The following is a 15,405-nucleotide window of genomic DNA, read 5'->3' as shown; positions in this document are numbered from 1 at the left end:
GGCTTACTGAGGGCACTTTGGGGAATCCGTCCCCACGGGCGAAGTATAGGTGGGGTGTTCGCGAACCGGCGGGCGGAGAGCACCGGCAAGAACCCCCGCAGACCGGAGGGCCACGCCTCTCGCTCCTCGGCTCATTGCAGGCGCCCACATCCCACCCCGCGGTGCTGAGCGAGGCGCATCTCGCTGCCATGGCGACCGCCTCCATGGAGACCGGGAGCAGAGGCTGCGGTCCCCGGGGGCGCGTCACAGGCTCTCCCAGCCCCCAGCCCGCGTGCCTTCTTTGTTCTGATGCTTCTCCAGGCCGGGCCAGGCACCCGGGACGCGTCTCGGGCCCGCACGGGGGTTGCTTCTTTCGAGACAGGGGATGGGGTGGAAGGGGAAGAGGTCCAAACCCTGGGGTCGAAACAGGAGTGATGGAGGGTTCCTCAGCTCCTGAACGAGACCAACACGGCCCGTATCGATGGCCGAAGCCGGCGTGGAAGCCCAGGGAGAAAGGCCACCTTCGGGAGCTCCACCCAGCCCCGAGACGCGCCCGACAGCCCTCCCGAGAGCGAAGGGCCCAAGGGAGGTGCGTCCTAAGCAAGGTTCAAGGCTAGAGGCGCTATCCCCCAGGCGGAAGAAGGAGCGGGGGCGGGGCCTATCCGAGGCCCTCCTTCTCCCTCTTCGAGTGGTCGGTTCTGGCCCCTGGCCTAGTTGGGCCGCCTGCCCGTCTTCCTCGCGAGAGCTCGCCCGGCAGGCGCGGACTAGCAGGGCGCTGCCTCGGCGACCCTGGCACGTGACGTAGGCGGCCCTCGCCAGTTGGCCGTTCTTTGGAGCCCGCTCATTGGTCCGGAGCGTCCCTCGCCCCACCCTCCCAGATCAACCAATGGGCGGAGGCGGGGGCGTGCCGACGGGAGGGCGGCCGCGGCGCGGGGCTCCCTTCCTCGTGCTCGGCGTTGAGCTCCTGCAGCCGCCGCCGCTGCAGTGGTCGTCCCTGCCCTCCCCGGCCCCGGGGTGCACCCCGCAAGGTGAGGCCACCCCTCTGCTCCCTGCCTCCCGGTTCCTTCCCGTTCGCCGAGGTCCCCTCCCGGTCCCGGCCCTGTCCTGAGCAGTCAGTGCCTGGGACCCCAGCGGCCGTGATGGCAGGGCTGGGGTGGGGGGCTCCGCTGTCGGGGCCGGGCCTGGAGGACTCCCCAGCACCTGAACTAGAGTGATGTCAGGTTCCCGGGGCGCAGTGACCGTTAGCTGGTGCAGCTGGGGTGTTTTCCGCGAAGCGATTGTCCGGGGGCATGAGTGCGGTAGTGAGGGCGGGGGCGTAATGGGGTCAGCGCCCCCTCCTCCCCACGACCCTGTTCATTGCCGCTGCCTCGCTGCATGACCTTGGACCAGTAGCATCTCTGAGCCTCCGAGCCTCAGCACCCTCAGGAAGGAGGGCAGTGATGTCTGGGAGTGCGGGCTCCGGAGACTCCTGCGTCAGCCGAGGTGAGTGAAGGTGGGGAGTGCACAGGATTATCTCCGAGGGACAGAGCCGCCGCCTCGCAGCTCAGGATGGATTGGATGGGGGGGATGTCCGATTACATTTCCCCCCTCCCCCTGAGATGACAAGAATGGGGTGTGGCGGGGGTGCCACACCCACAGGGATGGCTGCCGGAGAGGATAAAGGGTCCTACACCTGGACCCTTGGGGCCTCGGGGGCTTGGGCTGCACCTCCCTCCCGGTGGTATGAAGGAGGAGGGACTGGATTTAGGTTCTGGACCCGTGTTTCCATTAGTAAGCAGGGACTGAGAAAGGGAAGTCTCCGCTTGCCTTTCTTCTTGAATCTTGGCACTGGAAAGTGGAGGTAGGGCATTTTTCTGCTCCGGGGAGTTGAAGAAAGTCGGGGCAGCACCCCATCCCTCTCCCATTCTGGTCTTTTGTGGAGGGAAAATGTAGCTGGATATCCCCCCACATTCTATCCATCCTGAGCTACGAGGCAGCAGCCCTGTCCCTGGGAGATAATCCTGTGTGCTCCCACCCTCACCTTGGCTGACCCCCTGGATCCAGCCTGGCCTCTGCTTCTTGGGACCTCTGGATCACAGGCCCAGGGCAGGGCCTAGGTGGGGCATGCTATCTGGAGGCTAAGCACCCACTAGCTGAGGGCAAAGTGGGGAGAATGCTGGGCAGAGGAGGGCAGCACTTGTTGGGGAGGCAGGAAGGTGTGGGTGGTGAGGGTCCCTTCTCCATATTCCCCCACCCCCACCCCCAGCACCTCACTGTTAGAAGGAGAGAGAACAGCCATACTTATCTTTGCACCTTTGGCCCACTGGAGGGAGAAGGAAATTAAATCACATTAAAGCTGAGTTGATGTGAAGCTGCCACAACTACTGACCTCCAGCCTTGCCTTTCCAGGCTTTGTTCTGAGTATGTGTGGCCTCTGCTGTGTCCAGTCCTGAGAGTCAGCGGGTCAGTGTGGCCCCATCTCAAGGCCTCAATGGCTGTTCTTTTCACAGGCGTGAGCTTTAATGGGAGGCTACACAGTGCTTCTGCTGGACTGAGTGCTTGAGCCAGGACTGAGCCCCAGGCTGGGGTAGGAGAGGAAGAGGTAGGGAGGGTGGAAGGTTGCGGAGTTCCTGGCTCAGAGAGAAAGACCTCGAACCACAATGAGAATGGGGACTGAAGAAGGAATGAGAAATGAGGTCTCAGACGTTGGGAGCATGCTGACCAGAGGTGAATGGGTGTAGCTCCTCTTCCTGCACCCTGGGCTGGGGCCTGGAAGCTTGCTGACACTCCATCTCATGGGGAAGGGTATAATTTTTTTTGCTGGCGGGGAGGCACCATGTTCCTCCCTAGTCATTTCCCAGTTTCCCAGGATGTTCATTCTGCACATCTTCCTTGTGACCCCCTCTGGTTAGGGGGACTGGAAACTCCCAGCATCTGTTCTCTGACCCTCCCTAGGGACCTGGCTGCTTTGGGAGTGGGAGAAGGGGGAGGCAGGAGGAGGGAGGCCCCCTCACCCCTTGAGCTGTTTTCCAAGAAGGCTGACGTCCCTGGGGCCCACTCTAAGGGTCACTCCTGGCTCCTCCAGGATTGGCCTGAAGTGCCTCTCTGACGGTGCTGCTGAAACTGCTGTTGCTTTAGAAACCAGGCCTTTGGGGGTTTGCTTTTGCAGAGATGGGGGGTGCATTGTCACAGAGCTTCAGGCACAGTTGCAGCAAACCCTGGAAGGAAGAGGCCACTGCTTATTCCTGTGTTACACATTAGGAAACAGGGACAGAGAAGTGAAAGAACTCACCCATGCAGCTAGCAAGGGCAGATCCTGAATTTGAACCAGGACTGCTGCCTCTGGGGGCCATGTGGATTGAGCCATGGTGAGGCCTTGGTTGGCACAGGAGGAGGCTGGAGGCAGGGCCAGGCTTGGGGTTGTGTGGTGGCCTAGCTGTTCTCTGTGGACACAGCTGCAGCAGGGGAGGCCCAGTGCCCTCTTTGCCTGTTTCTGATGAGGAATTGTGTGTGCACAAGAGTCTAGCTCCCCGAGGACAGCGACCAGCAGGTTCTCCATTGAGAAAGGAGGTTTGGTTTTCCCAGTTTCCTTTGGGTTCCTGAAGTCCCTTGCTTCCTGCCTCTATGTTGTCACTATCCAGAGGGTTACAGGCCCTCAGTGTTTGCCCTTTACTGAGTACTGGCACTGCATGAGATGTGGGTCCTACCCTCAGTGGGCATGGGGCATGTCCCTCTCAAAGCAGGCATGGACAGGTAACCAGCTGACTGCAGCAAGGCCTGAGGAGTCCCAGTGGGAGGCCACTTGGTGGGGGCCAGGGAGAGGGAAGTGCCCCCCAGGGCAGGGGTGAGGCAAAAGAGTGGGGTGGGGAGTTCTGCTTCCTCAGAGCCCCCAGTGCAGTCACTGGCCCTGACCATATCATTTAGGGCTGAAGTACGGGCCTTGGCCAGGCCCTCCAAGCAAATGTGATGTGGTCATTCATTCAACAAACATAAACCAAACACAGCTCCTCCCTGTCTGGTGCTGCGCTGAGTGCCGGGGACACAGGGTTTGACAAAAACACAGTCACTACCCTTGTAAGGTGAGGAAGAGGGATATCAAATGATCCCAGACATGAGAAAGGGGATTCCAAAAAGAGCTGTAGTCCTGTCCTGGGATTTGCAGGGTGTGCATCCTTAAAAAAGAAATGTTGGGGCTGAGACCCTGTCGAAGGTGTGGCTGGGAGGGACGGGATTGTTCCTGGCTGAAGGGATGACCTGGGCAAAGGCAGGGCGGGGGGACGGTCAGGCAGTAGGTTGGGAGGAAGACAGGGAGGGTGCCCTGCATGGACCAGTTCAGAGTGTTTTGTGAAAAGGGCCTGCAGCCTTTGCTCACCAGCCACTGGTGCAGTTTAACCAGAGCCTTCAGGAAGCATCCTGGGAGATGGGGGGACCTTGAGGACACTGGGCTGTCACTGCCTCCTGGCTGCAGAGGTGTGGCTGGAGCAGCCTCTGCAGGATAGGAGGGCCTCACACTCTTGTGCTTGGCCATTTGTCATATACTCTGAGTTCACAGCTTTGGGGGCAGCTGTAGTCGGGGGGCGGTTACGGCAGGCTGCTCTCCAAGACCAAGTTCCCTGGGGACAAGCTGAGCTTTCCAGGGCTGAGGCAACTGACCCCACAGTGGCCCTGGCCAGAGGTGAATGGGTGTAGCTCCACTTCCTGCACCCTGGGCTGGGGCCTGGAAGCTCACCTCCAAGAGGGGGTTGCTGGCCTGGTCCATTGGCCAAAGGGGGCTCCTGGTGGTACCCAAACTGTGAACACCCTGCCCATGAGGCAGGGCTTGGGCCTGGGTGGACTTTGCCCACATTGAGAAGTGGGGAGCGAGGTGAGGCCACATCTGCTCCCAGAGCAGCTTGGCACCAGAGGGACCTTGAGATCATGCCCTCCACAGGCCCAGCCCTAAACTATGAGGCCACCCTGTAGTTCCTCTTCTGTCCCTGGACTGATGAGCCAGTGTCACTCATCTCTAAGTTGTTCAGTATGTTTCCCTGACAAAATAAGGACATAATTCTTTACATAATACAATTCCATGATCAACTCATTTCTTAGTGTTACCTCATATCCAGGCCATTTACATTTTCCAGATCCCCCAAATGTCTTTTTTTTTTTTTTTTTGAGACGGAGTTTTGCTCCTTTTGCCCAGGCTAGAGTGCAGTGGCGCAATCTCGGCTCACCGCAACCTCCGCCTCCTGGGTTCAAGCGATTCTCCTGCCTCAGCCTCCCGAGTAGCTGGATTACAGGCATGCGCCACCACGCCTGGCTAATTTTGTATTTTTTAGTAGAGACAGGGTTTCTCCATGTTGGCCAGGCTGGTCTTGAACTCCCGACCTCAGGTGATCCGCCCGCCTCAGCCTCCCACAGTGCTGTGATTACAGGCGTGAGCCACCTCACCCGGCCTTTTTTTTTTTTTTTTTTTTGAGACAGAGTCTCGCTCTGTCACCCAGGCTGGAGTGCAGTGGCGGGATCTTGGCTCACTGCAACCTCCGCCTCCCAGGTTCAAGCGATTCTCCTGCCTCAGCCTCCTGAGTAGCTGGGATTACAGGTGCACACCACCATGCCTAGCTGATTTTTGTATTTTTAGTAGAGATGGGGTTTCGCCATGTTGGCCAGGCTGGTCCCAAACTCCTGACCTCAGGTGATCTACCCGCCTTGGCTTCCCAAAGTGCTGGGATTACAGGTGTGAGCCGCAGCGCCCGGCACCCCCCAAAATGTCTTCTTTGATAGGTAGTTCGAAACACCCTCTCCTTTATTTTTCTTCTTGCAGCTGATGTGGTGAAAAAAACAGGTCAGTTGTCCTGAAGATTATCCTTTTTTGGTCTGTTAAGTGTGTGTTGATCTAGAACAAGGGTTGGCAAACTTTTGCTCTGAAGGGCCAAATAATAAATGGTTTAGACTTTGCAGGCCATATGGTCTCTATCATAACTACTTGGAAGTAACTTTGTTTTAGTGCAAAAACAGACAACATGTAAGTGAATGAAGTGTAGTGTTCTATTAGTAAAACTTTATTTGCAAAAATTTATTTGCCAGGCCTGGCGGCTCACGTCTGTAATCCCAGCACTTTGGGAGGCTGAGGTGGGTGGATCGCTTAAGCTCCGGAGTTTGAGACCAGCCTGGGCAACTCTGTCTCTACAAAAATTAGCCGGGCATGGTGGTGCGTGGCTGTGGTCTCAGCTACTTGGCAGGCTGGGGTGGGAGGATTGCTTGAGCCTGGGAGATTACGGTGGCAGTGAGCTGGACTCCAGCCTGGGCTGGACAGAGTGAGACCCTGTCTCAAAAACAAAAACAAAAACACAACAGGCAGCAACCTTACCATCAGCTGTGTAATCAGCTGTAGTTTGCTGCTTTCCTATCTAGAATAATCTCCCTCGTTTTATTTTTCTTCTTTCTTTTTTTTTTTTCTTGAGACAGAGTCTCGCTGTGTCACCCAGGCTGAAGTGCCGTGGCGCGATCTTGGCTCACTGCAACCTCCGCCTTCCGGATTCAAGTGATTCTCCTGCCTCAACCTCCCAACTAGCTGGGACTACAGCTGCCCGCCACCACACCCGGCTAATCTTTGTACTTTTGGTAGAGACTGGGTTTCACTATGTTGGCCAGGCTGGTCTTGAACTCCTTACCTTGTGATCCGTGAAAGTGCTGGGATTACAGGCGTGAGCCACCGTTCCCAGCCTGCTTTCTTTTTCTTCTTGACATTTGAAAACAAAAACAAAAACAAAAAACAGGTCAGTCATCCTGTAGAATATCCTGCCTTCTGGGCTCGTCTCATTGCTTTCTCATGGAGTCATTAAATTTGTTCCCCTCTCCTCTGTGTTTTTAGCAAATGAGAAGTTGAAGTTAGAGGCTGGTTTAGATTCCAGGTTAAACCTTTTTGGCAGGAATCCCTTGTCAGTGATGCTGTGACTTTGGGCTGCCTTACTTCAGGAGGCATCAGTGTGACAGGCTGTCCTGCAGAGAGTAGAGAGATAGACCAGTGTGTGACTGGGAGAAGTCACATACCTCCATTGCAAACTTGTGCCATTCCTCTTAAACACCAGGTCCTCGGCCAGGCATGGTGGCTCACACCTGTAATCCCAACACTTTGGGAGGCCGAAGTGAGCGGATTGCTTGAGGTCAGGAGTTCGAGACCAGCCTGGCCAACATGGTGAAACCCTGTCTCTACTAAAAATACAAAAATTAGCTAGGCGTGGTGGCGGGCGCCTGTAGTCCCAGCTACTCGGGATGCTGAGGTGGGAGAGTCGCTCGAACCCAGGAGGCAGATGTTGCAGTTAGCCGAGATCGTGCCATTGCATCCCAGCCTGGGTGACAAGAGTGAAACTCCGTCTCAGAAAAAAAAAAAAAACAAAAACCATACCAGGTCCTCTGTCAGTGACGCTTGGGCGCCTGTGAGTATCTGCTTCCTGTCAACCTTCCCCTCTGGTTTAGCATCCACTGGTTCTTGTTGCCTCCAGCATTTGTTCCTTTAGGGGTTGCAGAATGACTTAGCATTTGGTCATTTCTTTGTTATTTATTAGCAAGAATTCTTTCCGAAAGAAGAGCTTTCCATCAACCACCAGGGCAATTTGGTTACAAGAAAGGCCAAGAGACAGGCTGAATTCTTCCTCTTTAATCCTCAGCTTTCAGAGTAAAGAGGGCACTGCTACCGTCAGTGGTGACAAATGAGGGCTTTTGAGGGCTTGGGTTTGTTTGTTTTGCTTTCTCTCTTCTTTTCTAATAATCTCTGTGAATGCACTGCTTTTATGTGTTCCATCTGTTTCCATCAGTTGCACTCATTATTCTTTTTGATGCTCAGATGGTCCCAGCTCGGCCCATTGGAGGCTTCCTGGGGCGCCTCTCACTGCCCCTGTGCTGAGGCTGCCGTTGGGGAGCTGAGGCGGAGGCAGGCCTGAGACTCAGGGCAGGGTCTGAATGGGGTTCAGGTGGGGGCACACCCCCTCCACAGGCATCTGTTTTGCATATGGCCCTGACCGATCACCAGGAGGGAAAGCTCTAAGGGCACGCTTACTTTATGTGGTCCCCTGTTCTTGCCCACCATCGAGCACCCTGTTGCCTCTGACCGCACCCAGCTGCATTGCTTGTGTGACCTGAATAAGGTAGCTCCAGGCCCAGCCTTTGGGGTCAGCAGCACCAGAACTGGTCCCTGGAAAATACCAATAAAGTCCTCCTTTCCAGGCTGCCCCTCCTGCCAGTCTCTGGGGGTGCTGGGGATAGGAGTCCTATGCTGTTGCTTTGGCACCTAGAAGCTGCAGCTCAGCACATGCTGGCAGGACCCTGAGTCACTGGGGTATCAGGAAGGGGTGAGGGCTCTTGGTGAATGTGGGCAGTCGGTAGAGGGTGGGCAGAAGCCCCCGTGCTAGAGAGTACAGGCACCACTTGGGCTGCTGAGAGCGGTAGGGGTTTGAGTCCTTCCTAAAGGGAGCTCCTCTGGTGTCCCTGAGCCATGGGTCCATGAGTGGCCCTGACCCCTGCCCTCCCCACTCCCTATCCTTCAGGCTCCCGCTGGTGTCCCTGGAGCATGGGAGGCTGCTGAGCGTGAGTGGCGGTGTCTGGCAGGAGCTGCGTGGCAGGGAGGGCGTCCATGGCTGCAGCCAACAAGGGTAAGTGCCTTCCTGGCGTGGTAGGACTTGCACAAGCTCTTCCGGTGGGCCCTGGTAGGAGGGCCATTGCTGCAGGTAGGGCCCGCACCACCTGTGTGTGTGTGTGTGCATGTGTGAGTGCGTGTGTGCTGGTGTGCGAATGTGATTGGGACTATGTCAGTGTTTGTGCCAGGTTCTGGGGCTCACGCAAGCCCTAGCAGGACCCCTGCAGAGCCCTGCTGACTCCTTAGGCTGGTCTGTGGAGGTGTGTGCTCTTGTGTCCCTGCCGTTCCACTGTGGGGGTTGGGGGAGCCGAGGGGCTTATGGTGAGCACTGAGACTGGTGATGTGGGAGGGCCACAGCAGGCTGTGGAAGGGAGTTTGGGTTTCTTTCAGAGTCCAGAAGGGATAAGGGAGGGTTTTAGGCCAGGGTGATCTGGTGAGATTTGAGGGTTCTGTGGGGCTCACCAGGGATTGTGGATGTGCCAGGCTGGTCCCCTGGGCCTCCGAGTATCCAAGAGGCCGGCTCAAAGCTGGATCAGGTCCTCCCGCCAAGAGGACCCTGGGCAGGGCTCTTGGTGGGAGGGCCTAGGGGCCAGGGGTCAGAGAGGACTAGGGCCGTGCTCTCGGCCTCTACAGCCTGAGCATTCATCCAGTCCAGGCCTTCAGCTCGGCTCCCGCCTACCCTGCCTGTCTCATCCGTCTGCCCTTTCTGGCCTTGGAGAACCCGACCCAGCTCAGAGACAGCTGAGGGCCTTGATGGTGGGCTAGACAGAGGAAGGAAGGGGGTCTTGAGGTGGGTCTGGAAGCTTCCTTGGATTCTCTCTTCTTGCTGCCAGGGGCCAGTGAGGTTTACTGGCAGCTGCAGCCTCGCCCAGGTGGCCTGAGTGTGTTTTTTGATCCCCCCTGTTTCTGCCACCCCAGGCAGATCCCCCAGAGCCTGTTCCTGTCCCTGCCCTTTCAGGTTTGGGTCATGAGGATGGGCAGGCAGGGGCCTCATGCACTGACACAGCTTAGGGGTAGGCCCCAGGGATGGGGAGCTTTGCACTGTGAAGGAGAGCACTGGGCAGGGTATCCAGAGGACTGGGCTGAGTCCCACGCTGCCCTGGCTTGGTGGGAGTCTGGAAGACTGTCCCTTCCTGGCTCTGGCACCAGCCCCACCCCCTCCAAGCAAGGGTCATATTAGCCAGTCCCTGAGTCCCCCCACGCTCACTCTCAGGGGATGGATTTTTGTGGGAGGGGCAGGTCGGGGCCGGCGGGGAGGCCTCAAGCCTCATGATCCTAGTGTCCATCTAGCCCTGAAAAGAGCCCAGCCAGTGGGAGCTGGATGATGTCAAGGGCAGTCTTGGGGGTGACGAGGGGACAAGGGGGAGGAGTTTCCTGGGGACAGGGAAAGCCCTCAGAGCCCTCTCCCACTCTTCCTAGGCAACAAGCCCAGAGTCCGGAGTATCCGCTTTGCGGCAGGCCACGATGCAGAAGGATCCCACAGCCACGTCCACTTTGATGAGAAGCTGCATGACTCGGTGGTCATGGTCACCCAGGAGAGTGACAGCAGCTTTCTGGTCAAGGTACATGCACACCTACCCCATCAGCAGCTTCTTCCCCTCCCCGGCTCTGCCTGGCTTCTGGGTGCCTATCCCCGTTCCTCTCAGCCGGGCTTATAGGCATGTCTGTGCCTTTCCCTGTGCCTTGGTTGCCCCATCTGTCAGATGGGAGGCAGTGAGATTTCAATGAGATGAGAGCATTTAGAATGTCATCCAGATCAAGATGAGCAGAGCCACTGCTGTCATCTGCTTCACCCAGACAATAGCAATGGAAGGCAGTGTCGTGGCTGTGGTGCCAGTGGCCTGAGTTCAGGTCTAGGCCAGCCATTCTGGCTCTGTGACCTTGGGAAGGTCACCTGAGTTTCTTTTCTCTCAAGTGGAGACAATCACATCCCCTAGAGTTGGTGTGAGAATGGAAGAATGTATGTATGTGATACAGGTGTGAAGCTAACTATGGCAATAACAAGGTGCAACTTTTTTTTTAACCCTTCTTTGCCAAATCTCTGGCTCAGTTAGGCTCTTTGAAGTAGTATTATCACCCCCTGTTTTCTGCTTGGTGGAGCTGGATTGGGGAAAATGGAGACTGAGGCCTTCAGGTTGGTCAATAAATCAGGGGTCCAGAGTTGAACAGGAGTGCCCTTGGGTCGGGGGAGGTCTGGCCCATTGAGATGGCCCTGAGTGGGGGGTCTGCTGCGCTGCTCAAAAGGGGCCCAGGTTTAGCCTGGCCAATGGGTCGAAACCCGTCTCTACTAAAAATACAAAAGTTAGCTGAGCGTGGTGGCGCACGCCTGTAGTCCCAGCTACTTGGGAGGCTGAGGCAGAAGAATTGCTTGAACCCAGGAGGCTGAGGTTGCAGTGAGCTGAGATTGTGCCACTGCACTCCAGCCTGGGCAACAGAAAGACTCTGTCTCAAACAAACAAACAAAAAAGAACCTGGGGGGCCCAGGTTTGTATCCATTTCTGTCCAACTCTGAAGTTCCCACTCTTTGTCCTACAGCTGACAGCTTCCCCAAGAGAGTAAATGGAACAAACCAACACTTAAAAATAGCTCTCTCCCCTCATTGCAAAATCCACTCATGTCTTAATAGACATGAGAAAATTTGGAAGACAGAGAAAATATGAAGAAATTTAAAAGTACCCACAGTCATACTATCCCAAAATAACCATGGTTAATATTCTGATGTGTGTTATTTCAGCTTTTTTTTTTCTTTTTGAGACGGAGTCTTGCTGTCTCCAGGCTGGAGTACAGTGGCGCCATCTCAGCTCACTGCAACCTCCAGCTCCCAGGTTCAAGCAATTCTCCTGCCTCAGCCTCCAGAGTAGCTGGGATTACAGGCGCGTGCCACCACTCTCAGCTAATTTTTTATATTTTTAGTAGAGACGGGGTTTCACTCTGTTGGCCAGGATGGTCTCGATCTCCTGACCTCGTGATCCGTCCGTGTCGGCCTCCCAAAGTGCTGGGATTACAGGCGTGAGCCACCACACCTGGCTTATTCCAGCTTTTTAAAATGTTATTTATTTATTTATTTATTTTTCTGAAAACACTATGGTGATGGATCCAGCTTATTTTAAAAAGCTTTGTTTCCAAAAACAAAAGCTGGCCTCACCGTGTCCACACTGGTTTTTGCTTGCTTCTGTTGTGAACTGTCTCCTACCTGTGTCAGTAAATAATTTTCCACGAGATTTTACAACTGCCTACTGGTCCATGATACGTGTCATCATTGACTTAGCTGGCTCCCTGTTCCTGGGTGTTACGGCTGTTTTTGTTTTCATTGTTATAAATAGGGCAGCGAAGAGTATTTTTCTGCACATCTCTATTTCCCCTGGAAAATTCTATAAGTAGTACCCCTGGGTCACAGGGTCACAGTTAGCAGGTACAGCCAGAAAGCCTTCTTGAGGGATGTGCCCCCTACCAGCAGAGCATGAGGGGGGCACATGGATTGAAGTTTGTCATGTAGCAATATCAACCTGGTCCCATTGAATGGCTAAAACTCTCTGCAGCCAGTCCCAGTTGGCCCCCAGGGATGGGGCTGCCCAGCCCCAGTAACTGTGAGCAGGACTCTGTGTGCCCATGCAAGCTGGGAGTACAGCAGGCACCCTTTGCCTGCTGGCGTGGCACCCCCACCAGCCCCCCTGCTCAGCAACCACCCTGGCTTGTGACCCTTCATACTACTGGAGTTTCCAAGAATGGCATTTGTCCCAGAGGGTGGTTGTCACCAAGCACTGTGAATGAACAACAGAAATTGCTTGGGTCGTGAGTATGGGCCATTGGACACAGCCTTTGAGTGGGCAGGCAGGCATCCCCAGTCCAGTGCCAGCAGGGCAGCCAGGAGCCCCAGTTCAGTGGCTGGTGCCAGGCCTGTGGGCCAGCTCTGGGCTGACACAGCTGGTCTACTGTCATATCTCTAATTTGATCCCATCCCTCATCCCACGCTATCTGTGGCCTGGTGTCATCCTATGAGCGAATGGAGGACCAGCATCCCTGACCCTGGGATACTGGCAGTGATGGGGACAGGTGAATGACCCATGGGACTTTGAACTTTCCCTTGTAGGCAGTGGGTGGTGCCTTGCTGGGTGCCATGCATAGCAGGAATGGCCAAGAAGTCTAGGGAGGACTTGACCCTGGCCACACTACATAGCCTTTGGCCAGTCATTTTGTGGTTTCCATTTTCCTGTCTATGAAATGAGCCACTGAGGACTTTGGGGCCCGTGAGACAGATGCTGAGGATCTTGCTGGCCAAGCTGTAGGGCTGGGACCCTCAAGGGGTCTGTGAAAGGGCTGGGGCCACTGGGCTGGGGGTCGATCAGCTGGAGTGATGGAGGGAGTTGGGCTTTCTGGGCTCTCTGGGGAAGCAGGTGCTGGGGCGCATGGGATCATAGGTGGCACAACTGGGTGGGCCTGCGGGAAGCAGGAAGTGAAGGTGCCTCCCTCCCTCACCTCTCCTGCTGTAGGTTGGCTTCCTGAAGATCCTGCACAGGTATGAGATTACCTTCACTCTGCCCCCAGTGCACAGGCTGAGCAAGGATGTCCGCGAGGCACCTGTCCCCAGCCTGCACCTCAAGCTCCTCAGCGTGGTGCCCGTCCCTGAAGGTGCGTCCCCTCCTCCAGCAGGGCCTGGATGGGTGTGGGAGTGAGAACATGGGGTGCTCCCTTACTTCCAACTAGGGTGGATGGGCAGCTCAGCAAGTCGGGGATGTGGCACCTCTTTGTGAGCTTGCACTGTGGCAGCATGGCAGGTCCCACACTCCAGGCCTTGCTCCCTGTCCTGAACAGAAGTCCATGAGCTCATACTTCCCTGTACCTGCCCATGGTGTGATGGTTACCTCCGTGGGGCAGTAACCAAGATGGGAGCTGCTGAGGAACTGGTTTGAAGCCTCCAGCCTTCCCTCCTGCCTCCCTAACCCTCTAGAAAAACCTGCTGGAGCTACACACACCGTGTGGATAACTCCTAGCACCCACCAGTCCCAGACCTTGGGTTTCAGGCTGCTGTTCCTATCAGGCTCACTTCAGGCCCTGCCCCATGCCCCACTCCCAGCCTGGCAGAGGCTAGGGTGTCAGTTTCGTGGAGCTCCAGCTTCAGTTTCATGTCCCCGTCACCAGCCTCTTCATGACCTTGCCCTTCAATGGATTGACACCCCTCAGGCCTTTACCTCTTGCCATCGGATCTGCTCAAAGCCTACCCTGCCCTGCCCCCCTCACTCCTCATCACCGCCTCTCCCTGCCTTCCTTTTGGGAGAAAACAGCCAGACCTTCTTTTGGAAGCCTGAATTGGACCCTACTTCATTCACTCTTGGAGCCACATTGGGGTGGCCCACAGGCTGGAGGCATGTCCAGCTCACTGAAGAATGGGTTTTTGAGACCTGTGCACCCCTGCTAGGGGGAATGGGTCTCTGGGCTCCAGAAGGGCCATCCCTGCCCCTTTCTTGGGGGGGCTTAGCATGCAGTCCCCCCATGGTGGTGGGTAGGGGCCCGTGAGTGCCAGGGGCAGGATCGGGGAGGCTGGGGGAGGTGCTGACCAATTGCCCCTGTCCCCGGGCAGGTTATAGTGTCAAGTGTGAGTACTCGGCGCACAAAGAGGGCGTCCTCAAAGAGGAGATACTGCTAGCCTGCGAAGGTGGCACTGGCACCTGTGTGCGCGTGACGGTGCAGGCCCGCGTCATGGGTGAGAGCGTGAGGCTCCTGGTTGGAGGAGGGATGCACAAGCTCGACTGCGAGGGTTTCTGTCCTCCTCAGGGAACCAAGGCTGAACAAGGGATCCTTGCCCGGCTCAGGGGTTCTCAACCTCCTTGGCAGGTCCCTACCTCCAGCTGATCCCTGAGGGAAGGGGAGGGGTCCCCTTAGTGGGCCGCATGGGTGGGGCCGGGGGCCAGCATGGCACTGACTTGCACCCTGCCTTGCAGACCGGCACCACGGCACGCCCATGCTGCTGGATGGTGTCAAGTGTGTGGGCGCCGAGCTGGAATACGACTCAGAGCACAGCGACTGGCACGGCTTTGACTGAGGCCCGAGGCCCCGCCTGCCCCGGGCCCCTCAGCCTTAAACCCCGCCTTGTCCCCCCGACATGCTGCGTGATGGTGTGGCTTCCTCGCCCCTCTCTGGGGTGGGTGTGGGGGTGGAGTGGCCTTGCCCACGCCTCTCACCTCTGCCTTCATTTGTGCTGCCACCCTGCCCCTCCCTCGTCCTCCTCTCCCACTTCCTCCTCTCTGTGTGCCTCAGTCTCCTGCCGGAAGAAATGGGTTGAGCCCGAAAGGAGGCTGTCTGAGGAAGGGAGAGGGAGGGCCTGGGGTGGGTCCCCCACTCCCCACCCCAAGCCACAGGGACTCCCACCAGGGTCTGGGAGAGGACGGAGCTGGCTCTGTGGCGTCGTGGCCCCATTACTGCTGCCTTGCTTCAGCCACCTCTCCTGCCCCTCCCTAGTCCCCACTGCTGTCCACCATGAGTAGGAGGGAGGTGCAGTCCCCAGCCCCCACCCCTCAGGTCTGTGTTACTTGGTTTTTAAGCGACTGGTTGGGATAGAACCCTAAAGAAATAAACTTCCAGTGGATACCGGAGGCCAGGTGGATTTTTGTTCTCTGGGGTTGGGGTAATGCCTACTCCTTTGCAGATGGGCCAGGGAAAGACTTGGGTAGACTCACTCAGGAGGCAGGGGCACCGCGTGGTATTATAGCACCTAGCCCCACAAGAGGTATGCACAGGTGGTGGCATTTTAGGCCAGAAGCTGGCTGCCAAGACAATTAATTTGAATGAGGAGAGAGGGACCTCATGTGTAGGCCAGAGAGGTCTTAAGCAGTGGA

General features: G+C 56.5%; 1 protein-coding gene across 6 annotated transcripts, besides 4 other annotated features; it reads left to right on the top strand.

Annotated features, from left to right (window-relative positions):
• Positions 282-15,162, top strand: ADISSP (adipose secreted signaling protein). Of its 6 annotated transcripts, none has more exons than NR_047675.2 (6): positions 282-568; positions 8,484-8,588; positions 9,992-10,134; positions 13,063-13,201; positions 14,151-14,273; positions 14,512-15,162. NR_047675.2 is itself a non-coding variant. In NM_001258429.2 (6 exons), the coding sequence occupies exons 2-6, from the start codon at positions 8,570-8,572 to the stop codon at positions 14,610-14,612; spliced, it is 525 nt and encodes a 174-aa protein (NP_001245358.1). In that variant the 5' UTR covers positions 917-1,007; positions 8,484-8,569; the 3' UTR covers positions 14,613-15,162. The 6 variants fall into 6 exon arrangements, 5 of the variants coding, with proteins under 5 accessions (NP_001245358.1, NP_001034229.1, NP_001245359.1 ...); NM_001258429.2 differs by lacking the exon at positions 282-568 and adding an exon at positions 917-1,007; NM_001039140.3 differs by lacking the exon at positions 282-568 and adding an exon at positions 917-1,007 and having other exon boundaries at positions 8,484-8,663.
• Positions 294-880: an enhancer, noted in NCBI's record as "H3K27ac-H3K4me1 hESC enhancer chr20:3748437-3749023 (GRCh37/hg19 assembly coordinates)". NCBI's record gives its function as "activates a minimal SCP1, AML or CMV promoter by ChIP-STARR-seq in naive H9 embryonic stem cells {active_cell/tissue: H9 hESC(naive)}" and the evidence as "EXISTENCE:reporter gene assay evidence [ECO:0000049][PMID:30033119]".
• Positions 294-1,022: a biological region, named in NCBI's record as "H3K27ac-H3K4me1 hESC enhancer GRCh37_chr20:3748437-3749023".
• Positions 783-1,022: a silencer, noted in NCBI's record as "silent region_12626". NCBI's record gives its function as "represses an Ori minimal core promoter by ATAC-STARR-seq in GM12878 lymphoblastoid cells {active_cell/tissue: GM12878}" and the evidence as "EXISTENCE:reporter gene assay evidence [ECO:0000049][PMID:35858748]".
• Positions 1,008-1,772: an enhancer, noted in NCBI's record as "H3K4me1 hESC enhancer chr20:3747545-3748309 (GRCh37/hg19 assembly coordinates)". NCBI's record gives its function as "activates a minimal SCP1, AML or CMV promoter by ChIP-STARR-seq in primed H9 embryonic stem cells {active_cell/tissue: H9 hESC(primed)}" and the evidence as "EXISTENCE:reporter gene assay evidence [ECO:0000049][PMID:30033119]".
• Positions 15,163-15,405: the final 243 nt, after the last annotated feature.

This window comes from Homo sapiens, chromosome 20 (assembly GCF_000001405.40).
Source record: "Homo sapiens chromosome 20, GRCh38.p14 Primary Assembly".
Classification (NCBI taxonomy): Eukaryota; Metazoa; Chordata; class Mammalia; order Primates; family Hominidae; genus Homo; species Homo sapiens.
Note: the sequence above shows the minus strand (reverse complement) of the source record. Positions and strands in the feature narration are given on the sequence as shown.

What these genes read in the sequence shown, in the direction of transcription:
- ADISSP (NM_001039140.3), top strand. Translation starts at nt 8,570, where the DNA reads ATGGCTGCAGCCAACAAGGGTAAGTGCCTTCCTGGCGTGGTAGGACTT. An exon ending in TAGGAGGGCCATTGCTGCAG is followed by an intron (nt 8,664 to 9,991) that starts GTAGGGCCCGCA and finishes CACTCTTCCTAG; the next exon opens with GCAACAAGCCCAGAGTCCGG. An exon ending in GGTGCAGGCCCGCGTCATGG is followed by an intron (nt 14,274 to 14,511) that starts GTGAGAGCGTGA and finishes CCTGCCTTGCAG; the next exon opens with ACCGGCACCACGGCACGCCC.